This window comes from Homo sapiens, chromosome 7 (assembly GCF_000001405.40).
Source record: "Homo sapiens chromosome 7, GRCh38.p14 Primary Assembly".
NCBI classification, from domain to species: domain Eukaryota; kingdom Metazoa; phylum Chordata; class Mammalia; order Primates; family Hominidae; genus Homo; species Homo sapiens.
Window position 1 is genome coordinate 65,896,931 of NC_000007.14, and position 25,629 is coordinate 65,922,559.

The window sequence follows — 25,629 nt, forward strand, 5'->3', positions numbered from 1 at the left end:
GGAGGTTGCAGTGAGCCGAGATCGCACCATTGCACTGCACTCCAGCTGGGGCAACAGAGCAAGACTCCTCATCTCATAAATAAATAAATAAACAGACAACCTAGACATGGCAAAAACTAGTATAAACAAAATTGGGACTCCAGTGATAAGCTGGGAAGAAATAGTTGCCATGCAGCATGTTCAAAGGGCTAATTTCCTTTAAAAAGCAGGATCGCTTGCTGATAGAAAAGACCAACAACTCAGTAGACAGGTGGGCACATTCAGAGACAGTTCAAAGGAAAGACAAGTGGCTCCTAAATGTATGAAATGATCCTCAGTTGCAGTCAGTGTAAGAGTTAAGCAAATTGAAACTATACTGAAAGCATTTTAAAAATACCCGATTAACATGATTAAGAAGTTTGATTAGCTATTGACTAAGGTGTAGGAAGATAGCTACTTCCGTATATTAATGGTAAGTTTCTAAACTCTATGGAGAGCAGTTGAATAATATCCATTAAAGTTTAAGAATGCACATACCTTGTGTAGTATAGTATAGTTTAGATCAATTGTGATGTATTTACACAATGGGATATTATAGAGCAATAAGAATGAATGAATTACAGTTCACCCAACATGAATGACTCACAATCATAATGTTGGGTGAAAGAGCCAAACACAAATATAAATTCAAAAAAAGACAAAATTGTGGTGTTAGAAGTCAGGGTAGTATTACTCTTGCGGAGCTCACTGGATGGAGACATGAGGGGATTTTGGAGGCTTATAATCTTTTTTTTTTTTTTTTAATCTCTGTGTTATGTGGAATTACACTGAGAAAATTCATCAAGCTATGAACTTAAGAATTATGTACTGTTCTGAATGTATGCTATACTTCAATACACATTTTAATATAAATAAAAATAGTGTGTATACATCAAGTCACACATCACACAATCACACATAAAGAATGCACATAACTTTTGTTTTAGCAGTTTCATCCTAGGCATGTAACATATATTTACACACACTCTTGTATATGTGGGGCTTAAAAATAGCATGAAGGTATTCATTGCTGTGTTTATAAGCACAAAAACTTGTGCAAAACCTAATTACCCATAACTAGGGAACTGGTAAAATAATTGATACAGTCATACAGTAAATTTGTAGCAGGTTTTTTTTTTTTTTTTTTTTTTTTTTTTTGAGACAGAGTCTCACTTTGTCACCCAGGCTGGAGTATAGTGGCACGATCTCGGCTCACTGCAACCTCTGCCTCCTGGGTTCAAGCAATTCTCTGCCTTAGCCTCCCGAGTGTATGGGTTACAGGCGCCTGCCATCACGCCCGGCTAATTTTTGTATTTTTAGTAGAGACGGGGTTTCACCATCTTGCCAGGCTGGTCTTGAACTCCTGACTTCATGATCCACCCACCTCGGCCTCCCAAAGTGTTGGGATTACAGGTGTGAGCCACTACGCCCGGCCAGGTAGCAGCTCCTAAAAGGAGTAAGGCAGTTGTATATGAAGTAATTTAGAAAAGTCTCTGAGATACATTAAATGAAAAGACCAAAGTGCATGAACAGTATGTGTAGTATGCCACCGTTTGTGTATGGGTGTGTTTTATCTCTATAGGCATATATTTGCAAGCATATATAATTGGAATATATTTGGAAAGATGGGAAGATATGCTAACACTGGCTGTCTCTGAGGAGTGGAACCGAGTGGCCAGAAGGCAGAATTGGGTGACACTTTCTATACTAATTTGTGACTTAACATTTTTTAAAATTTTTAATTGTGATAAAATACATGTAGCAAAACTTACTATCTTAAACATTTTTAAGGGTACTGCTCAGTAGTGTAAAGTATATTCATATTGTTGTACAACCAGTCTCCAAAACTTTTTCCTAGCCATTAAACAAGTACTTAATACTTCCCCTACCCTTGGCAGTCACCATTCTACTTTCTGTTTCTATGAATTTGACTACTCTAGATAGCTCATGCAAGTGGAATCATATAGTGTTTGCCCTTTTGTAACTGGTTTGTTTCACTTAGCACAATGTTCTCAAGGTCCATACTATTTTGTGACTTTTGAATACTTTACTTTGTTTATTATCCATTTTTAAAAGAGCACTAAAGTAAAAAGACATGACCTTATTCAGAGCTGATTAATTACATGGTAAAAAGTTGAAGGCTGGCGTGTCTTATTCATTTCAACCAATATTAAATGCCAGTTTGGGCAGCAAAACAACTTTCTGCCAAAGTGCCATTTGAAGCCTGGTTTATGACATGTTTCTCCTTTTGTCATCTTTGGGTGCCACCCAAAATGCAGGCTCAAGGCCGCAGCCTCTTGACTCTGTTCAACAGTTTCCCCCCTTGGCTTATTGTCCAACATTGGCCTACTCTTCCAAATCCACCTCTTTATCCCAGGAACAAGCTGCTTCTATGCCAAGGGCATGGCTTCCTCTTTGCAGATTGTCTCATATCTCTGACCTGGAAAAAAGGGGGTTTTTCATTCTGCTAGCTTTTTAGTGCTGCTTTGAGATCATTATTCTAGAGCCCTCTGCAGTAATGTTTTTTCTCATGGATTGAAATTCATTGTTTCCAGTAGGATTTTTGACTAGACGTGGAAACAGAAGGACAAATTGAAATGACTCTGAAGCTTATGGGAGGACTGAGTATCATTAACTGGCACAGAGGGAGAAAGGCAGGCTCTAGGTGGAAGGTATGTGACTTGCTTTTGAAAACAGTGGTGTGAGATTCTGGCCTGTGAAAACAGCTGGAGTTACGAGATAGAAATGGGGACTTAAAAAATAGCTTCATACCAGACGTGGTGGCTCACGCCTGTAATCCCAGCACTTTGGGAGGCTGAGACAGGCGGATCATCTTAGGTCAGGAGTTTGAGACCAGCCTGACCAACATGGAGAAACCCCGTCTCTACTAAAAATACAAAAATTAGCCAGGCGTGGTGGTACATGCCTGTAATCCCAGCTACTCGGGAGGCTGAGGCAGGAGAATCGCTTGAACTCAGGCGGCAGAGGTTGCAGTGACCCAAGATCACGCCATTGCACTCCAGCCAGGACAACAAGAGTGAAACTGTCACACACACACAAAAATAGCTTTGTGCGTGTGTGCATGTGCACGCACGTGTGTGTGTGTGTGTGTGTGTGTGTGTGTGTGTGTGTGTGTGTGTATTGAAAATACAGAAAAATAGCCAGGTGTGGTGGCTCATGCCTGTAATCCCAGCATTTTGGGAGGCTGAGGTGGGCAGATCACAAGGTCAGGAGATCGAGACAATCCTGGCTAACACGGTGAAACCTCATCTCTACTAAAAATACAAAAAAATTAGCCAGGCGTGGTGGCGGGCACCTGTAGTCTCAGCTACTCGGGAGGCTGAGGCAGGAGAATGGCATGAACCCGGGAGGGGAGGCGGAGCTTGCAGTGAGCTGAGATCATGCCACTGCACTCCAGCCTGGGTGACAGAGCGAGGCTCTATCTCAAAAAAAAAAAAAGAAAATATAGAAAAATAAAATGTTACACACAAAACAGATCATCATTCTTAATACCTTAAGTGAATTAACTGCTGTTTGTTCCTCTGGTTGTATACGTATAAAACTACATACATAGCTGGGCATGGTGGCTCACGCCTGTAATCCCAGCACTTTGGGAGGCTGAGGCTGGTGGATCACTTAAGGCCAGGAGTTCGAGACCAGCCTGGCCAACGAGGTGAAACCCCATCTCTACTAAAAATACAAATATTAGAACTGGGTGTTGTGGCACATGCCTGTAGTCCCAGCTACTCGGGAGGCTAAGGCATGAGAATCGCTTGAACCCCAGAGGCAGAGGTTGCCGTGAGCCAAGATTGCGCCATTGAACTCCTGCCTGGGTGACAGAGCAAGACTCTGCTAAAAATAATAATAAAAATAATAATAATAGAAGTACATACATAAACTTTAAAATGTAATAGAAATTATATTTTGTATTCACCCTTTTCCCCTCTGTGAATGAAGAAGTCCAAGGCCAGTCACGTAGTACTTCTGCAAAAGAGGTTATGAATGAATTTGTGGGACTTGTTGAAATTTCACAGGTGAGATCCTACACAGATGGAGAAGAAAATGAGGCAAGAATAGGATTTTGGAAACTTGCCTAGAACTTTCAAGATTCAAGAATCAGAAATGATAATCAAAGAGATAGGAGAATTAAGAGTTTAGTGTCAAACTAAGAAGAGTGAATTCCAAGAAAAAAAGGAGGAAAAATTTTGTTCGGTGTTATAAAGAGGTAGAGCTGGATGAAGACTAAGCATTTAAATACTAAGTTGAGGGCATAGTAGCTGGCATGTGCCTATAATCCCAGTGTTTTGGGAGGCCTAGGCGGGAGGATGCCTTGAGCCCAGGAGATTGAAGCTGCAGTGAATTATGAGCCAATGCACTCCAGCCTGGGTGAGAGTGAGACCCTATCTCAAAACAGCAACAACAACAAGATACAAATTGAGAAACTGTTACTTGATTTGCGATATGTATTCTGTCCAGCAGTGATAGAATAACAAGGACTGGGTTTACCTTGCTATTTTAAGCAACAATATATGAAATAGCAATTTGTAGGCATTGGGTAACAGGCAAAGCAAGACTGTGGTCACTGAAAGCTGGGAAACAAACCTACTGAGCTCTATGGTTGCCCCAATTTATTATCTGGAGGTAGTTTTCAGGCTGCAGAGCAGGGATGGGGAAGTCAAACAGAGCATGGTGTCTTAGAATTGGGAGGACAAGATGGGGGTTGGCGGGGAGGGAAGGTTGTCATCATTCGTGGGGCAGAGTACCAGAGAGGTGGGAGTTGTACACAGAACTCCAGTGATAGGTGGAGGAGTCTCCTGAAATCTGGTTGAGTCCTGATCTACAGGTGCATGAGAGGAGAACACCTGAGGCCAGAGAAAGAACCCCACTGGAAAGCAGCAGGCCAAACAATTCCTGGGACTCAACACAGAGCTGGGAATAGTCTGTGTTCCCATTAGCCAGAGTATATACAAGGGCATCAAAAGGGCATTGTAAAGAGGCTAAATTCGCCCTAATTTAAAGGCTACTCTGGATCTACTCTAACAATGAAAAAGCAAGTCTTGGAAGATACAGCCGATTTAAAGAATCTTACCTGTGTGTGAGAACAAAGTCCAGCCCTATTTAAAGAAAAACACAAAATCCAACACCCAAAACACAAAACTCATAGTGTTTGGCATTCAGTAAAATGACCAGGCATGCAAAGAACCAGGAAAATGTGATGTAATCAGGAGAACAATCAGCAGAACTAGATCCAGAAATGACAGAGATGATGGAATTAACAGACAAAGACATGAAAACAGCAATTACAAATATGCTGTCAGTTCAAAAAAGTAGAGGAAATGGTTAACATAATGGAAAGAGAAGTGGAAGGTGTATTTTAAAAAGACCCAAACAGAACATCTTGAGTTGGAAATAAAATTTAAAATACAGTGATGGCATTAACAGAAGTTGAGGCACTGCAGATCAGTGGACTTGAAGACAGCAATAGAAACTGTCCAAAATGAGAACAGAAAGAAAAATGGAAACATTGATAGAGCATCAATGACTGTAACAAGGACAATTGTTAGAGATAGAAATAGTCTAACATATGTGTAATTGGAGCCCCAGAAAAGAGGGAAAGGGGAGAACAGAAAAAAAAGATTGTAAAAAATAATGACAAGAAAATTCTCAAATTTGATGAAAACAGTAAGCCCACATATTTAAGAATCCCAAGGAGAATAACTATAAAGGAAACCACACCAAGGCACATCATCATCAAACTGTTGGCAACCCATTATAAAGAGAAAATCTTGAAAGCAGGCAGAGAAAAAATACACATCATGTACAGAGTAACAGAGATAAGGATGATAGCAGACTTCTCATCAGAAATTTAGCAAATCAAAATACAATTGAGAGACATCTTTAATTTTATTTATTTATTTATTTATTTATTTATTTTGAGATGGAGTTTTGCTCTTATTGCTCAGGTTAGAGTGCAATGGCGTGATCTTGGCTCACCGTGACCTCCGCCTCCCGGGTTCAAGTGATTCTCCTGCCTCAGCCTACTGAGTAGCTGGGATTACAGGCATGTACCACCATGACTGGCTAATTTTGTATTTTTAGTAGAGACGGGGTTTCTCCATGTTGGTCAGGCTGATCTCGAACTCCCGACCTCAGGTGATCTGCCCACCTCGGCCTCCCAAAGTGCTGGGATTACAGGTGTAAGCCACCACGCTTGGCCTTCATTTTTTTTTTTTTTTTCAAGACAGAGTCTCACTCTTGCCCAGGCTGGAGTGCAGTGGCATGAACTCAGCTCACTGCAACCTCTGCCTCCTAGGATCAAGTGATTCTCCTGCCTCAGCCTCCCAAGTAGCTGTGATTACAGGCGCATGCCACCACGCCTGGCTAATTTTTTTATTTTTAGTAGAGACAAGGTTTCACCATGTTGGCCAGACTGGTCTCAAACTCCTGACCTTGTGATCTGCCTGCCTCAGCCTCCCAAAGTGCTGGGATTACAGGTATGAGCCACTGTGCCCAGCCTGGAGAGACACCTTTAAAGTGCTTTTTAAAAAAGACTACTGGGGCTGGGTGCAGTGACCAACACCTGTAATCCCAGCACTTGGGGAGGCAAGGTAGGAGGATTTTGAGATCAGCCTGGGTGACATGGCGAAAGCCTATCTCTACAAAGAATGCAAAAATCAGCCAGGCATGGTGGCGCGCGCCTGTGGTTCCAGCTCCTTGGGAGACTGAGGTTAGAGGATTGCTTGAGCCTGGGAGGCAGAGGCTGCAGTGAGCTATAATTGAGCCACACTGCACTTTAGCCTGGGTGATAGAGCGAGACCGTGTCTCAAAAAAAAAAAAAAAAAAAGGCCTACTGGAACTTGTTGCCAGCAGACCTGCACAAGAAGTGTTGAAGTTATTCAGGCAGAAGGCAAATGGTTTAAAATGGAAATTTAGATCTTCACAAAGGATTGAAAAGTGCTAGAAATGGTAACTGGGAGTAAACATAAGAATTTTTTTTCCATTTTATTCTCTTTAAAAGATGACTGCATTGAAGGTGATTGCTAACAGGTACAGGATTTCCCTTTTTGCACGATGGAAATGTTCTGCAGTTAGTGGTGATGGTTGCACAACATTGTGAATTAAAGAAATAGTAGCTTTAAAAAGATAGTTGCTTAAAGCAAAAATAATAATGCATTATAGGTTTTATAACACATGGGAGTAAAAGTTATGACAATAGCCCAAAGAATGGAAGGGGACGGGAAGGGTATAAGAAACCTTAGTCAGGTTATTTATTTATTTGAGACAGAGTATCACTTTGTTGCCCAGGGTGGAGTACAGTAGTGCAATCCCAGCTCACTGCAACCCCTGCCTCCTGGGTTCAACAAGGTTCAACAAGCCTCCCGAGTAGGTGGGATTTCAGGGGTGTGCCTCCACACCCAGCTAATTTTTGTATTTTTAGTAGAGATGGGGTTTCACCATGTTGGCCAGGCTGGTCTCAAACTCCTGACCTCAAGTCATCTGCCTGCCTCAGCCTCCCAAAGTGCTGGGATTACAGGCGTGAGCTACCGTGCCTGGCAGAAACCTTACTAAGGTTCTTAAGCTGTACATGGAGTGGTATACTTCACCTGGAAGGCAGACTGATAGTTAACAATGTATAATTTAAAACCTAGAACAACTACCATAAAAATTAAAGAGGTATAGCTAATAAACTGATAGTGGAAATAAATAGAATTCTAAAAAGTAATTAACCTAAAAGAATGCAAGACATATGGGGAAAGAAACAAAGCACAGATGGGATGAATAGAAAAAGACAGCAAAATGGTAGATTTAAACAGTCTTGGATCCATTATCACATTAAATGTAAATGGTCTTGAAAAATTCATTCAGGTTAAAAATACAAGAGAAGATAAAAATCTCCATTTTCACCATCATTAAGTGTACTTCTTTCCAGTTGATTTTTGTCTGTGTATATATATGTGTGTATACATTTCTTCCTGTGTATGTATGTATATATGTATGTTATACACATCGTATACATATTATGTATATATACATGCACGTGTATATACATACACATGCCTGTATGTATATGTATATGTATACATATAGGTATGTATATATATACACCTACATACATACACACACATATGCATACAAATGCAGGTGTATACACATAAATAATGTGCAGTTTTTTAGAAACAAAATTGGAATCATGCTTTTTGTTTCCTTTAACTTTTAATCGTGAACATTTGGACCTGTAATAAAATATTTGAAAACAGCTTTTAATGTCTGTATAGTATTCCACTGAGTGCCACATTATAACTTGTTTCAGTCTAGATAATTTGTCACATAAGTTGTTTTAAATTGGCGTGGTTATTTTTTTTATTTTTTTATTTTTTTTGAGATGGAGTCTCGCTCTGTCATCCAGGCTGGAGTGCAGTGGCGCGATCTCAGCTCACTACAACCTCTGCCTTCTGGGTTCATGCCATTTCCTGCCTCAGCCTCCCACATAGCTGGGACTACAGGTGCCCGCCACCACACTCGGCTAATTTTTTGTATTTTTAGTAGAGACAGGGTTTCACCATGTTAGCCAGGATGGTCTCAATCTCCTGACCTCGTGATCCACCCTCCTCGGCCTCCCAAAGTGCTGGGATTACAGGTGTGAGCCACTGTGCCCAGCCAAATTTGCCATTTTAAATAATATGAGTATTCTTGTATACTTCCGTGTAAATCTTTACATCATTGATTTTTTTGGCTGTATTCCTACAAGTAGAATTGTCAAATTTACATCTAGAAAATTTAAACAATTTGTGTTTCCACTACAGATGTATGGAAGTGCCAATTTAACCTTATGCTTGGTCCACGTGTGGTATTAGTATAAAAACATCGCCACCCAGATTTTTCAAAAACTTGATTACCCCAGACACCCAATCCTCACCGTGCTTGTAGGATACTTACTTTATCTCTGAAATCTTTGAAATTCTATCAAAATCTCTTTGCCTTAAATTTGGCTAAAACATAAAACGTATACATTTATTTTTTCCTTTTCTTCTCTTCCTGCCCCTTTTCTTCATCAACCTAGTTTTCTTCATTCACTTCTTTGGTTACTGCTTCAGCTTCATTGGTTCTAGAATGTGAGCGTTTTGAAGACACATTCCGTATCTCCCATATTCTCTGTTGTATCATGGCCATAGTATACTAGATGCTCAATAAATTTGTCAAAAAGGCCAGGCACGGTGGCTCATGCCTGTAATCCCAGCACTTTGGGAGGCCAAGGTGGGCGGATCACCTGAGGTCAGGAGTTCGAGACCAGCCTGGTGCCAGTGGTCTCAACTACTCGGGAGGCTGAGGTGGGAGGATTGCTTGAGCTCAGGAGGATGAGGCTGCAGTGAGCTGTAGTACCACTCCACTCCAGCTTGGGTGACAGAGCAAGACATTGTCTCAAAAAGAAAAAAAAAAGGAGTATGGTGAAATTTTTAGTAGTATAAAGTTAGGTCTAAGAGTTTTATTTGCAAAGATTACCATGTGGGAGTAATCTCTAGACATTTTTGACTTACTGGCCTATTTTGTAAGACCCCCAAAGGTGGAGAACTGGATCAGGGAAACAAGCAGATCTTGAATACACACTGCCTATTTTTGAGAGGACCACAAATTCAGAATTTGAAAGAATTGGAGTTATTCCTTTCCTTAATTACACTTTGGCCCTAGGGACCCAGAAATGAATGTGAGTTCCTCTTCTCTAGGAGTCCAGTTTAATGCTAGACATACATGGTAATAAGCAGAGTCCGTGCAACAGAAATCAGTGGCGTGAAAGTAAAGGGGAAGAGATCCATAATTCATGGTTGACTTGACGTTTTCCACTGAGGGGCCAGCATGGGTTTTATGCAGAATGAAGGACATTTGAGATTTCATTTTGGGGCCATAGGAGGCTATAACCTGGGATGGGTAAAAAAATTATAAAGCAGTGCTTACGCTCAGGTTGGGGACCTTGAACTTGTACTGGTGCTAATTATGGGTTTTTTCCTAGTAGTATTTACAGCCCCTATACAAGGGTGGAAAGTGAAACTAGTGTATTTACTCAAAATAGGTGACTTGAAGGAAAATGGGATGGAGCAAAGTAGTGCTTTATAATCAGCCCCAGTTTTAAGGATAAGACTGCTAGAGACTCATTACTTTTCACATTATAATGTGAAATTAATCATTAAAACTTAAGTAAAAATGGAGGTTTTTGGCCAGGCTCGGTGGCTCATGCCTGTAATCCCAAGCACTTTGGGAGGCCGAGGCAGGCACACCATCTGAAGTCAGGAGTTCGAGACCAGCCTGGCCAACATGGTGAAACCCCGTCTCTACTAAAAATACAAAAATTAGGCATGGTGGCGTGTGCCTATAATCCCAGCTACAACAGAGGCTGAGGCATGAGAATCGCTTAGAACCCGGGAGTCGGAGGTTGCAGTGAGCCGAGATCATGCCATTGCACTCCAGCCAGGGTGAGACTCTGTCTCAATAAATAAATAAATAAAATAAATAAATGGAGGATTTAAATATCTTTCCTCATACAAAAAACTATTCATGGTAGCAATATTTCTGACGGCCTCTGGCATCCTTTTGTTACTAGCTAGAAAGAGAAATGTAGATTGCTTTCACAGTCCAGAATGACCCTCCCTAGGCCTCCCGCTGTTCAGTTGTGATTACTGTCAATAAACACCACTGTGAATACTACTGTTTTGTTTCATTTTGTTTTAATCAGAGAGAAAAGGTTTTAATACTTTCTCTGTGACTAGGTAGGCTAATGATCTACAGATCTTTGAGCAGGTGTTTATTTTTCAAGTTCAAGTTCACTTGAACTTCAGGGAGTCTGAGATTACAATCAGAACATTTGGTTATTTCCAATGACAGTTTTACTCAGCTGGTTAACCTAAGCAAGATAGGTTTTGTTTTCAAGATCTTCCCTCATCAGTTTTTTTTTTTCCCGTATCAAAGACAACAGTTTCAATGGAGCGAACACTGGATTAAGTATGAAAATGTGCTCTGGTCCCAGCTTTGATTACTTACTGGGAAAACAAGCAAGCAGTGTGTCAGATCTGTTAACTCCTTTGATACACAGAGGCCACAACTGCTCTGCTCATGAATATTGACAGTTAAGACATTTTCCTATACCCTTCAAATTTGTATTAGTAGAATCTCAGTTAATAGAAATTTATTTGGCTGGGTGCTGTGGCTCATGCCTGTAATCCCAGCACTTTGGAAGGCCGAGGCGGGCAGATCACCTGAGGTCAGAAGTTCGAGACCAACCTGGCCAATAAGGTGAAACCGCCGTCCCTACTAAAAATAGAAAAATTAGCCGAGCATGGTGGCGCATGCCTGTAATCCCAGCTACTTGGGAGCTGAGGCAGGAGAATCGCTTGAACCCGGGAGGCAGAGGTTGCAGTGAGCCGAGATCGCGCCACTGCACTCCAGCTTGGGTGACAGAGCAAGACTCCATCTCAAAAGAAGAAGAACAGAGATTTATTCAAGATTATTTATCTGGATTTAATCTGTTGACACAAATTCAAAATGCAAGTAACTACTTAAGGCTAGCCTGGTATTTCTCAAACCACTGAAGGCAGAGTTTTTAAAATTTCAAATCCAGGCCGGCCATGGTGGCTCATGCCTGTAATCCCGGCACTTTGGGAGGTCAAGGCAGGTGGATCACGAAGTCAGGAGATGGAGACCATCCTGGCTAATATGGTGAAACCCCATCTCTACTAAAAATACAAAAAATTAGCTGGGTGTGGTGGCATGCACCTATCTTCCCAGCTACTCAGGAGGCTGAGGCAGGAGAATTGCTCGAACCTCAGAAGCAGAGGTTGCAGTGAGCCAAGATCGTGCCAGTGCACTCTAGCCTGGGTGACAAAGCAAGACTCCATCTCAAAAAAAAAAAAAAAAAATTCCAATCCATTGTAGACTGATATGTTTGCAAGATGAAGTATTAAAAAATAAATAAAAACATCAGACATGTAAAATACAAGCTCATGTAATTTATTCAGCTGAATTACGTTTTAATAATATCAATACAATACAGGCTGGGCACGGTGGCTGATGCCTGTAATCCCAGCACTTTGGGAGGCCGAGGTGGTTGGATCACCTGAGGTTGGGAGTTCAAGACCAGCCTGGCCAACATAGCCTTGGCCTCCCAAAGTACTGGGATTACAGGCGTGAGCCACCACGCCCAGCCTAATTTTTTTTTTTTTTTTTTTAGTAGAGACAGGGTTTTGCCATGTTAGCCAGGCTGGTCTCAAACTCCTCACCTCAAGCGATCCACCCACCTCGGCCTCCCAAATTGCTGGGATTGCAGATGAGCCACCGTGCCCGGGCACAGCATCACTTTCAAGTGACAATATAAAGCTAAGCTTTGCTATGTTTTGATTTAATAATACTCTTAAGTAGAGAAACCATTGTTACCGAGATGTCGTGATGGGAATGGAAGAAGAGATCTTAAAAACAATTTCACCAAGTTCAGGATATGGACTTCCAATTGTATCCACAATAAAGCAAGTCTCTTTAATCCTTTATCTTTCAGCATTAGCCAATTGTAACAGTTTATGCCATGAAGAGTTAAATTATCTTTAGGTGAAGGAAATAGATTTGGTTCTATTACATTTCCTGTGTGTGGATCTCATTGGTTGAAAAATTAAATTTCAGAATGTTCTGTTTCATTTATAAGGTATTTGGTGATCATCTGTCGAAACTGTTCTTTGAAGCTTCTAACTTTTGTTTTAGCCTTTGTGTGTGTGTGTGTGTGTGTGTGTGTGTGTGTGTGTGTGTGTGTGTGACGGAGGCTTGCTCTGTCGCCCAGGCTGGAGTGCAGTGGTGCAATCTCAGCTCACTGCAACCTCTGCCACCCAGGTTCAAGCGATTCTCTTGTCTCAACCTCCTGAGTAGCTGGGATTACAGGCATGTGCCACCATGCCCGGCTAATTTTTGTATTTTTAATAGAGACAGGGTTTCAGGATCTTGGCCAGGCTGGTCTTGAACTCCTGACCTCGTGATCCACCCACCTCGGCCTCCCAAAGTGCTGGGATTACAGGCATGAACCACCGTGCCTGGCCTTGTTTTTGCCTTTTAATCTTACCTGTTGTTAAAAAGCCTGTTGCTTTCCTTCCTCGTAAGGAAGTATTAAGATAATTAAAAGTAACAAGTTGGCTAACAAGTTCACATCTTTTAAAAGTTGGAAACAAACTTGTTTCTTACCTTGCAGAAGCACTGAGTCTGTTCTGTAATTCAAATTTCTCCTCAGTACCATTGTTTTAATATGAACATTATTTTAACATTAATTCACTAACAGTATCCTTTTCTATTAGCACATAATAAAGACAATAATCATTAATATGTATTTGCATTCTCATGATTCTTATTATGACACTACACACATACTGTTTAGTTCAACTGACATTTTTTGTACCGAGATCACACACCAAGCAGTGTGTGATTTTCTTTCTGGTGCAAGCTGCTTAATCTGGGGAACTACTCCAGAATGTTTTCTTGTCATTGCAGCTGTGCTATCAGAACATTCTTGTATACAAAATTCCAGACCAGTTTTGTTGCCAACATAATTCTCATCGTTTTACCCAGTTCAGAACTAGTTGTGTTTGTTGGATGTAAAACTGAGAAAAAGAGTTAGTTCTTCCTTCACATCACCATCATCTTTGGATAGCACATTAGCAATATCTGTGCGCTTGTCAAGGTACAATGAAAAGCACTTTGCAAGTTTTTTTTTTTTGTAAATTGGTCTTCTGTATCATTAGTTTCCAAAGGTAGCAAGCTGTGCTTTCATTGGAAAGTGCAGATTTACCCTTTCATGTAAGTGATATTCACTTGTTCTTGACAATAGCATTTTCATTTTAGCAATCCAAAGTGCTGGGACAGGAAGCATGTAAAACATTTATGGATAAAATACTGATCATCTGCTTCTATTAGCCTTTAAAATGTAGTATCTTTCAAAGAATTCTCTCTGTTTTGAGCTTATGTCTGTACATTTGGTTTATAAATGCCCCTTAAATTTTGATGATTTTGTTGCTCCATTAACCAGTATATCTCTTCAGTTAACACACTGTGATGTTACACTTCACCATTAATTATGGCTACAATCCTGAACTCAGTATATGAGGGCTCAGCCCCACTCCTGAGTGAAAGTGGTGTGGCATCTTTTGGTCTTCATCTCTTTGGATTCACTTCCTTCACTGTCCTGTGGTTTACTATATTCAGAGGCATGTCTTTTCCACTGAAAAGATGCTGCAAAATCAACTGAAGCTTGTTTATCCATATGTAAATTTGGTTAAAAAGAATGTAAACTTCATTTCTCTAGTTTAACTCATGTTAAATTACAAATTTAAATACAGGCTTAAAATGAAAATGTTTGCAAAATTAAGTAGTTATAAAAATGAATAAACCCATGCATTTTCTCAGATTTTTGTATACATTTAGGTAGTTGGTAAAATAGGCATAGCATTTCCCACATAACTTGATTCTGCCATACCTGCCTAGTACATGTCATGCCATATACACCTCCCCATGTGAGCTTGACAGCACCTAGATAGGTTATTACTCTCTGTTCAGCAAGACAAATCACTGGTCGTGCACTTGCATGTCATGGCATTGTTGAATGTGTATAAAAGTTTTGTTTGTTTGTTTGTTTGTTTGTTTTTAAGCAGAGACAGCATCTTGCTATTTTGCCCAGGTTAGTCTTGAACTCCTGGGCTCAAGCAGTCCTCCCACCTCAGTGTCCCAAAGTGTTGGGATCACAGGCATGAGCCACCATGCCTGGCCTATACAACTTTCTAAACACTTATTCTCAATTTCTGAACTGACCCTGTCGTGGATTCATAACAAATAATTCATAGACCAGCACTGGTTTGTGGTTTTGCTCTGATAGGCATTTTGCTCTGACTGGATGATTGTATCATTCTTAGAAAGTTATAGGCTTTACATGCATTAAGTCCATAGAAAATAGCTAGTTTCACTGCATCTTTTTAAAGGATTTATTTGATACCTATTATATCACACAACAGGGCACATTACCCACTATTGACATATAATCCCATAATATAATATCAAGGTAAAAGGGGGAGGACTGATTGAGCCTGGGAAACAGAGGTTGCAGTGAGCCGCTATTGCACCATTGTACTCCAGCCTGAGTGACAGAGCAAGACCCCATCTCAGGGAAAAAACAAGAAATGCTGTAACTTTATATTTCATCGTATTGCACTCTAATTTTCAAAAGCTTGACAATGCATTCATTTATAGGCGTCTACTATTTTAACTAGAATTTCAGAACATTTAAAGTAGGCATGAGCTGTGCGTAAATGTTTCTGAGGTGTGAATTTACAAAAGTAGCTTATATTAGTGGAGCTGTAGAATATTGTTTTTTCTCCAGGAAGCCACCAGGAACCATATATTGTGTGCTGGAGCTTGTGGCTCTTTCCGAGCTCACAGTGTTGACAGCTGATGCATTTCAGTGCGTGTAACATCCCGTGTTTCTCAGCTGGCTCAATCGCATGTCAGTTTCTTCTGATTTGTGTAATGGATTAGTGAGAATAACCTCATGAAGCATCTGCATGTTGAATCTTAATGCACAAAGGCCCATGTAGCAGGCAGTATGTTCCTCAACAGCTGACTGAGGGCTCCAAGGAAGCTTTACTGACACCATGACTAGGTTTGTCGTGGCTCGTACCCTTTGAAACTGGGCACTTAAGGCCTAGTGTGTAAGAATCTAGTACATCAGTGCTTCTCACATTGTGATGAGGAAATACTCCTCCCACCCATCAGGTGGGGATCTATACTTTGTAAAATACAATTGAAACAAAGTACTAGAAAAATTCATTTTAAAAGATAAAAATATAAAATATAAAACATATGCCACATTTTTATTAATAGATTCAATCATAAAATTACATTTTAGTAAATTTACAACATGGGAAAGTTTTTCTTTTCCATTTCTGTATGTATTTCATCATGGACTAGTAAACAGTTCCAGGAGCAGCACCGGTCCGTGGAACCCACTCTGAGTAGCACTGTGGTAGTTACTGAGCCTTGTGTGCCAATCTGTCTGCGTTACTGGCAAGATTAGGTAGGGAGGTGTGGGTATCTCAGAGAGCTGGTAATGCTGTCAGCAGCAAAACTGCAAATGAAAGAGCATCCTGTGGGGCTGCTCCCTCCACAGATCTGAAATGTGTATGTCAGAGCCCATCTTGGCTGCTATAACTATGAAAAATTGAATTTTTATGAAATATATATCATATTCTTAATTCTGATAGTGAATTTTCTGTAGAGGAAGATTGCTTCTCTGAGTTCTGGGAACGTTCCTGGTTCCCTTCTTTAGCACTGTTGCATAGACCCTTTGTTTTTTTCATGTAACGTCCTTATGGAAGGAGATCTGGGCCTGCTATTCATTGTACTACAGCAGTCAAATAGGAGTTGGGGTGTTCTCCACCCAGATCTTCACACACATATAATATTCTGTGCCATTAGAAGGGAAAAAAGAGGCAGGCGCGGTGACTCTCACCTGTAATCCATACTTTGGGAGGTCGAGGCAGGTGGATCACTTGAGGTCAGGAGTTTGAGACCAGCCTGGCCAATGTGGTGAAACCCCATCTCTACTAAAAATACAAAAATTAGCCGGGTGTGGTGGTGGGTGCCTGTAATCCCAGCTACTCAGAAGGCTGAGGCAGGAGAATTGCTTAAACCTGGGAGGTTGGAGGTTGTGGTGAGCCGAGATCGGGCCACTGCACTCCAGCCTGAGCGACAGAGTGAGACTCTGTCTCAAAAAAAAAAAAAAAAGGGAGGGGGGTGGGGGTGAGATGTGGTGGAATGAGAATATTCAGTTACCAGGATGAACATTCAGAGGTCTGATTGAAATTATATGGATGAAATCACTAAGGAAAATTTCTGAGTAGTTCTTTTGGTGTGGCTTTTTGTGCCAAAATAAACTTTTAGGGCCTCCCTCCAGTACTAGGTATATGGGAGAGTTTCCAAAGCTGCCAAAACACAGAGCTGGAATGACTACAAGTGGGAATTGGAATGGCCTCTTGACACACCTTAGACTCCAACCCTTATTTCTTGAGTTTAGAGGCATTATAAAAAAATAAAAATGTGTCTTGAATTTGGTACAGTGTATTAATATAGAGACAGTAAATCTTCAGTGCCTTTATTTTATTTTTAATTTAATTTTTTGAGGCAGGGTCTCACTCTGTCACCCAGACTGGAGTGCAGTGGTGCAATCCTGGGCTCAAGCGATCCTCCCACCTCAGCCTCCTGAGTAGCCAAAGCTACAGGTGTGCACCATCATACCACCATGCCCAACTAATTTTGAAAATTTTTGTAGAGGTGAAGTCTCACTTTGTTGCCCAGGCTGGTCTCCAACTCCTGGACTCAAGTGGTCCTCCCGCCTTGGCCTCCCAAAGTGCTGGGATTACAGGCGTGAGTCACTGCACCCAACCCAGGCACTTCTTTTTTGCCACTGTCTCTCCTATCCCTTCCCTCTATATCTTCTGTAAATAAATTGTCCTGCATCCTTAACCTCCCCATCTTTCCCTTTGCAATCTTACCTCAATGAAACTCACCTCTTCCAGCACTGCTTTTTAATGGCAATTACTCATTCTCTCACAGCCCATATACCATGGAGTCCAAGAGAGTGGTAACAGCATTCTTTCTGCTTCCCCTTGCTGTTTTCAAGCTAATTCTTTTCCACCCCTATATTGTTTTATTATTTTCATTCTTAGAATTCTCTTGTTTGCATCTACTTACTCTCCCTCTGGCTGGGTGTTGTGTCTCAACCCTGTAAGTCCAGGACTTTGAGAGGTTGAAGCGGGAGGATAGCTTGAGACCGACCAGGAGATTGAGACCAGCCCGGGTAACATGGCAAGACTCTGTCACTACAAAAAATAACAAAAATTAGCTGGATGTGGTGGCACATGCCTTGTGGTCCCAGGTACATGGGAAGCTGAGGTGAGAAACTCACTTGAGCCTAGGAGTTCGAGGCTGCAATGAGCCATGATTGTGCTACTGCACTCCAGCCTGGGTAACAGAGCAAGACCGTGTCTCAAAAAACAAAAAAACCCGCAAATACTTAACTCTCCCTCTTCGGTTTGTAATTTGTGATTGTGAGCTTATTTTTTTTCTTTTTTTTTTCTTTTTTTTTTTTTTTGAGACAAGAGTCTCACTGTGTTGCCCAGGCTGGAGTGCAGTGGCTCGATCTCGGCTCACTGCAAGCTCCGCCTCCTGGGTTCACATCATTCTCCTGCCTCAGCCTCCCGAGTAGCTGGGACTACAGGCCTCTGCCGCCATGCCTGGCTAATTTTTTGTAGTTTTAGTAGAGACGGGGTTTCACCGTGTTAGCCAGGATAGTCTCGATCTCCTGACCTCGTGATCCACCCACCTCAGCCTCCCAAAGTGCTGGAATTACAGGCATGAGCCACCGCGCCCAGCCTTTGTGAGCTTATTTTCTGAACTCTTTTTTTTTTTTTTTAGATGGAGTCTTGCTCTGCCACCGAGGCTGGAGTGCAGTGCTGCGATCTCTCCTCACTGCAACCTCCGCCTCCTGGGTTCAAGTGATTCTCCTGCCTCAGTCTCCCAAGTAGCTGGGACTACAGGCGTGCCCAGCCTGATGGTACCTTTAATCTGTAATTCTCCCTTCGTCTCTCCATCCCTTGCAGTTTATTAAAGAAACCAGTTTTTTTTTTTTTTTGGTTTAGTAGAGTTTCCTACCATCTGGGAAATTGGGAGTTAGATAGTAGAGGCATGATTGGGGGTGAGGCTATTTATATTCAATGCCTAAATCAACACCTAATTTATTAGGTGTTGCAAAATGGTGCTATTCCATCATTCATTCTTCATGTGTTAGCTGCAATACTTGTATAAGAGGAAACCTCCTGGCTGGGTGCAGTGGCTCACACCTGTAATCCCAGCACTTGCTGAGGCGGGCAGATCACTTGAGGTCAGGAGTTCAAGACCAGCCTAGACAAAATGGTGAAACCCCGTCTCTACTAAAAATACAAAAATGAGCTGGGCATGGTGGTGTATGTCTGTAATCCCAGCTACTTGGGAGGCTGAGGCGGGAGAATCGCTTGAACCCAGGAGGCGGAGGTTGCAGTGAGCCAAGATCACGCTACTCTACTCCAGCCTGGGCAGCAGACCGTGACTCTGTCTAAAATTAAAAAAAAAAAAAAAAAAGAGGAAACATCCTTTTTGTCTACTGCTTGATTACCCAGTGATACAGTTTGTATAGAGAAGGCAGGTTATGTGCCTGGTTTTTTTCTCTTTATTTGCCAGTTTTGAAAATAATGAGTTGGTTCCCTAGCATTTCCCATGTTGACCAATTAGTTTGTATTATTAGAAAGTCATAGAATTTAAATGTGTTTGATGTGCTTCAATCCATTGTGGTTATTATTCTTATTGACACCCAGACTTCTCTGCCTTCTTCTAAGTCCTTTTCTCCTGACTTCCATCGCCTTCGATAGCTTCCTTGTTTGGTATGACCAGATGTTCTTGGTTCATCTTGTGCATTTCCTGTCCCCTACCTGAAACTAGCCATTTCTCTGAGCTCAGAGTCCTAGATTCTTTTAGGGGGAAATGGAATTAGAAGATCACAACCTAGATCTTATTGCTATAGATTGGTCATTGTTTGATATAGGAAACATCTTTTTTTTTTTTTTGAGATGGAGTTTTGCTCTTGTTGCCCAGGCTGGAGTGCAATGGTGTAATCTCAGCCCACTGCAACCTCCACCTCCCAGGTTCAAGTGATTCTCCTGCCTCAGCCTCCTGAGTAGCTGGGATTACAGGCCTGCGCCACCATGCCTGGCTAATTTTGTATTTTTAGTAGAAACGGGGTTTCTCCATGTTGGTCAGGCTGGTCTCGAACTCCTGACCTCAGGTGATCCACCCACCTTGGCCTCCCAACGTGCTGGGATTATAGGCATGAGCTACCAAGCCTGGCCTGAAATATCTTTTTTTAGGATAACAGTTCATGGTTATCTTTAAAACATTCCCAATTCAAATTCAGGACTTCAGAGTGTTTATTTTATCTCCTATATCTTATCCCTTTTCTTCTACACCAGGAGTTTTAGGTCTCAAGGATGTTAGATGATAGTATTAGCATATCACGTAATTAGTCATTTACTTAATTCCTCATTTTACAAAGTGAGACTTTCTCCCGTGCACCAAGAGCCCCAACGAGACAAAAAAGTGTCCTGGTTACTTTCTCACAACTCTTTTTTCTTTATCTTCACATTCCTAATCCAATTGGTGATTAAGTCCTATTGATTTTACTTTAATGTTTCTCATCTCCACCCCTTCCCTCCACCTTTTCTCTGTGCGTTGATTTAGGCCTTCATTGTTCTTCTAGGTTTCCTATCCTTCCATTCTGCTGTGCATGTGGCTATGAGGGTATAGTGTAAAGTGCTTTTTGCCTGCATAGGACAGTCAGAATTCCTGTAAGTCTCTCCATGATTTGTCTTCTGTCTACCTCTCCTTCCTTGATACACTATACTCCAGGCATTGGAAGTAACCTGCAGTTTGCCAGACTTTTCATGTTCCTCTGCCTTTGCTCAGCTACTTACTCATTGGGTCTCATATGCCCTTTCCTCTCCCATGATAAATTTTTCCCAACATTTTATTATGAAAATATGAAACATACAGAAAACTTTAAAGAATTTTCTAGAGAATGCCTGTATATCCACCACTCAGATTCTACCATTAACATTTCACTTGTACTTGCATTTTTATTTGCTATACAATTATCTACCCCTGTATCCATCACTAAAAACTTTCTCCTAAGTACTTTAGCATGCATATCATTAGTTCATTATTTGACACATTTTCTTTTGAGCCAAAATACACATACAATGAAATACACAGATTTGAAATGTATATTCTCTGAATTTTAATGAACATGTACGCCTAAGTAAGCCAAAACTCTGTCAAGTTATATAGGGTGGTGGCTTTGCCTACCAGGGAACATTTGACAATGGTCTGGAAATAGTCTTGGTGTCACAACTGGGCAGGGTCGCGATAGGTTAGTAGTGACATCTAGCAGGTAGAGTCCAGGGACAGCTACAGTGACAGTTCTGTCTCGATAGTGCCACTGTTGATGAGCTTTGATACTTTGCTACTACATTACTACAACCCTAAAGGTTTCATCATGCCTCTTGCCAATCAGTTCCCTACCCCGCAACCTCCTAGAGATAACCATTGTGATTCTTTTGTTCTACTACAGTTTTCCTTGTTCTAGAAGATCATATAAATGGAATCAAACATTGTATACTTCATGGCAGTATTGCCTAAAAAGGGAAACATTGCCTGTAACTCTTCAGGGAATGCAAAGTTTTTCCATGGATTATAAAAGAAATCCCTTGGAGGGTTTCACATAAAGGACACAGAGATATGTAGATAATATTTTCAGCAACATTGCCAGAGCAAATTAAGCAAAGGCATTCGTATGACCATTTCCTTTTGAAATTACTAAGACATAATGCTGACATGAAACTCACTGCAAGCGCTTTTACATAGGAGAGACATACTGTCCAAAGACATAGCTTTCTGGTGGTCTGGGTTGATTTAAGAGTCAAACCTAGAGAAATGAATGGTTGGGATGATCTTCACTTTCCACAAAGGGCACTTTTCTCAGCCAGGTGTCAGTAACACATGCACAGCATCCATTTCAAGGTGCTTTCTTGCTTCAGTGCAGGTAACCTATGGTGTCAGTTAAGGCGAAAGCCACCAAATTTGGAGATCAAATAAGAGGTAACTGAGAAAATATATGTCGTGTTAATGTTAGCTGTGCAATTTTTTCTCAAAGGTGGTATAAGAGAATATCTGAAGGCAAAGGAAGATTCTTTAAAAACCAACAAAACAGGCGGGACGCGGTGGCTCCCATCTGTAATCCCAGCACTTTGGGAGGCTGAGGCAGGCAGATCACTTGAGGCCAAGAGTTCAAGACCAGCCTGGCCAACATGGTGAAACCCCATCTCTACTAAAAATACAAAAGTAATCCAGGTGTGATGGTACGTGATTGTAATCCCAGCTACTCCGGAGGCTGAGGCACAAGAATTGCTTGAATCCAGGAGATGAAGGTTGCAGTGATCGCGCCACTGCACTCCAGCTTGGGTGACAGAGCGAGACCCTTTCTCAAAAAATAAATAAGTAAAAATAAATAATAAACTAAAACAACAGCATAGCTGTGGTTCCACTCCAAGAGAAGCTCAGGTCCCCATAGTCCTACACTACCTGTTCATCCTTAACGGCTCTGATGGCTAATAGTCATATGTTTATTAGTCATTGATTAATGGATTGATGGATTTATCAAAGGTTACTTGTTGATGTCATTCAGTCTCTTGACTTTAAATACCAAGCTATATGCTGACCACTCCAAAATTTTTATTTCTAACTTAACTTGCAAATTCATATATCCATTTGCCTCTCTGACATTTCCACTTAAAAGGTAGTTCAACTTGTGTCCAAAACTGAATTCCTGATCCTGAATTCCTGGTCTCTGAAGCCTTTTCTTTCCTAACTCAGAAAATAGCAACTTTTCTTCCCAGCTAGTAAAGTCAGAAACCTCTGTGTCATCTTAGACCATTTTCTTGCCTCATGCTGCACATCCAGTCTGCGAGCAAGTCTTGGTGGCTCTACCTTCAAAATATATCCTGGGCCTAACCAGTTTTCACCACCTCCACTGCGGTCATCTTGTTCTAAGCTACCATGCTCTCTGCTGGGATCATTGCAGTAGCAGACTGAGTTTATTTCCATCCTTCTTCCTCATAGTCTATTTTCAATACTACAGCCAGAGTGACCTTTTAAAAATATAAACAGTGGCCAGGCCGGGCGCGGTGGCTCATGCCTGTAATCCCAGCACTTTGGGAAGTAGAGGCGGGCAGATCACAAGGTCAGGAGATCGAGACCATCCTGGCTGACACAGTGAAACTCTGTCTCTACTAAAACTACAAAAAAATTAGCCAGGTGGCCAAAACCACCCCTTGGATGCCCATTTTGTTCAGAGTCAAAGTCATCATCATGGCCTAAAGACCCCATGATCTACTGCTACCCTTGCCCTGGTGTTTTTTTTCTTGTGGCTCCTGTTACTCTTCCCTTCTTACATTTGCTTGCTCTGTTCCATGCATCCTGGCTTCCTGGCTGTACCTCACACCCGCCGGGCATGCATGACTTGCTTTCTCACCTCAGCGAGGCCTCCTCACCTCACCACCCGACTTCAAATTTTGAATATAAGTTTAGATTGCAGTTCCTTCAACCCTGTACTCATCTTTCCCTGCTTTGTTTCTGTTTGCTTTTCTGCTCGTCTCTCTCTCCATGAGAGGGTAGACACCATGAGGACATACAATGTTGTCTATTTTGTTTATTGTGTTCCCATCACCTGATACCATGCCCGACAAATGCTGGGCACTCAATAAGTATTTTTTAAATAAATGTTTGGGTCTCTCCCACCTGCTGGACCCTGCTACACACTGGGGACTCACTGCTGAATGATCCTTCTCCTCCTGGAGCATAGACTGGTATAGGAGACACCGTTATTGATTAACATATAGATTCGTGTACATAATTTGAGATAGAAGCTCTTGAGAAAGGAGCTTTGGTTGTAGGAGAGGATAAAATAGAAAGCTAACAGGAGGAGTGGGGAGGCTCCTTCTTGGCCAGGTGTCAAAAGCTGGGATCTGAAAGATGAGAATTAAGTAGCTTCTGTGGTGTCGTGTCCTTTCTCTTTCCTACACTGTTTTTCTCTCTTTTAAAAATTAAAGATGGGCCAGGCACGGTGGTATGCGCCTGCAGTCCCAGCTTCTTGGGAGGCTGAGGTGAGAGGATTGCTTGAGCCCAGGGGTTCAAGGCCAGCCTGGGCAACATAGTCCCTGTTTTTAGAAAAAAAAAAAGACAGAAAGGAAGAGAGGGAGGGAGGAAGAAAAGAAGGGAGAGAAGGAAGAAAGGAGAAAGGAAAGAGAAAGAGAAAAAGGAGAAGGAAAGAAAGAAGAAAGAAAGAAAGTTAAATATGGGTCTTTCTACACATTGACCACTTTTATTAATCTTTGATTTGTACTATTTTTGTTTCCTTTTTCATAGACTGCTTCTCTTACATTTATTAGTATCTTTTACTTTGGGGGGGGTTTAACTGGCTGTTATTTTTGTAACTTTTTGAGATTGATACTTAGAGCACTAATGCATGAAGTTATGGTTATAATTTCTCTCTAAACACAGTGTTAGCTACATCCTACAGGTGTTGATAGTAGTATTTTTAGTAGGCATTTTATAGACCTTTTATATGTTCAATTTAATTATGAATATATTTGGATTTAAAGCTAACGTCTTAGGATTCCTATTTCCCCTACCAGTGCCATGTTCATTTTTCTCTTTCCTTGCCTTCTTTTGGATTAATCAAACATCTTATTCCATTTCCCCCCACTGTATTATCTTATTCATATACATTAATTTACCTTTTAGAGACAAGGTCTTGCTGTGTCACCCAGGTTGGAGTGCAGTGGCGAGATCATAGCTCACTGCAGCCTTGAACTCCTGGCCTCAAGCAATCTTCCCACTTCACCTTCTCAAGTAGTTGAGATTACAGGTGCGTGCCACCATGCTCAACTAATTAAAAAAATTTTTGGCCGGGCACGATGGCTCACGCCTGCAATCCCAACACTTTGGGAGGCCAAGATAAGTGGATCATGAGGTCAGGAACTCAAGACCATCCTGGCCAAAATGGTGAAACCCCGTCTCTACTAAAAATACAAAAAATTAGCCGGGCGTGGTGGCGGGCGCCTGTAGTCCCAGCTACTCTGGAGGCTGAGGCAGGAGAATGGCATGAACCCGGGAGGCGGAGCTTGCAGTGAGCGGAGATCATGCCACTGCACTCCAGCCTGGGCGACAGAGCGAGACTCCATCTCAAAAAAAAAAAAAAAATTTTTTTTAGAGACGGGTCTCACGGTGTTACCCAGGCTGGTTTCAAACTCCTGGCCTCGGGGATTCTTCAACCTTGGCCTCCCAACGTGCTGTGATTACAGGCATGAGCCACCTCATTTCTTTTAAATCATTACCCTGCAGGTTATACCATGCATCCTTGGTTTATTGAACTCTAATATAAATTAATAGTTGTATCACTTTTCTGTCAGTGCGTGGACCTTTGGATATTTAGGCTTCATTTACCAATCACGTACCTTTTTTGTCATTATTGTCATTTATTTTAATTCTGCATATTTTTGACTCCACAAGACATTTTGTTTGACATAGTATTCATTTAGTCTCCCTCGTATTTCTCCTTTCAATCGTTATTTCCCCCTCTATCTTTGCAGTGCTTCTGTCTAGGATCATGTTCCTTTTTTTTTTTTTTCTTGAGACAGAGTCTTGCTCTGTCACCCAGGCTAGAGTGCAGTGCAGTCGCGCAATCTTGGCTGACCGCAACCTCTGCCTCCTGGGTTCAAGTGATTCTCCTGCCTCAGCCTCCCGAGTAGCTGGGATTACAGATGTGCTGCACCACCACTTCTGGCTAATTTTTGTATTTTTACTAGAGACGGGGCTTTGCCACATTGGCCAGGCTGGACTCTAACTCTTGGCCTCAGGTGATCTGCCCGCCTCAGCCTCCCAAAGTGCTGGGATTAC

General features: G+C 41.6%; 1 protein-coding gene across 4 annotated transcripts in view, besides 1 other annotated feature; it reads left to right on the forward strand.

The window, feature by feature from the left end:
* VKORC1L1 (vitamin K epoxide reductase complex subunit 1L1) overlaps window positions 1–25,629 on the forward strand; it is a 93,787-nt gene that overhangs the window by 31,159 nt on the left and 36,999 nt on the right. The window lies entirely within an intron of this gene.
* Window positions 24,763–24,945: a silencer, noted in NCBI's record as "fragment chr7:65386680-65386862 (GRCh37/hg19 assembly coordinates)". NCBI's record gives its function as "represses an EF-1alpha promoter that drives an FKBP-Casp9 reporter gene in an ReSE screen in K562 erythroleukemia cells {active_cell/tissue: K562}" and the evidence as "EXISTENCE:reporter gene assay evidence [ECO:0000049][PMID:32094911]".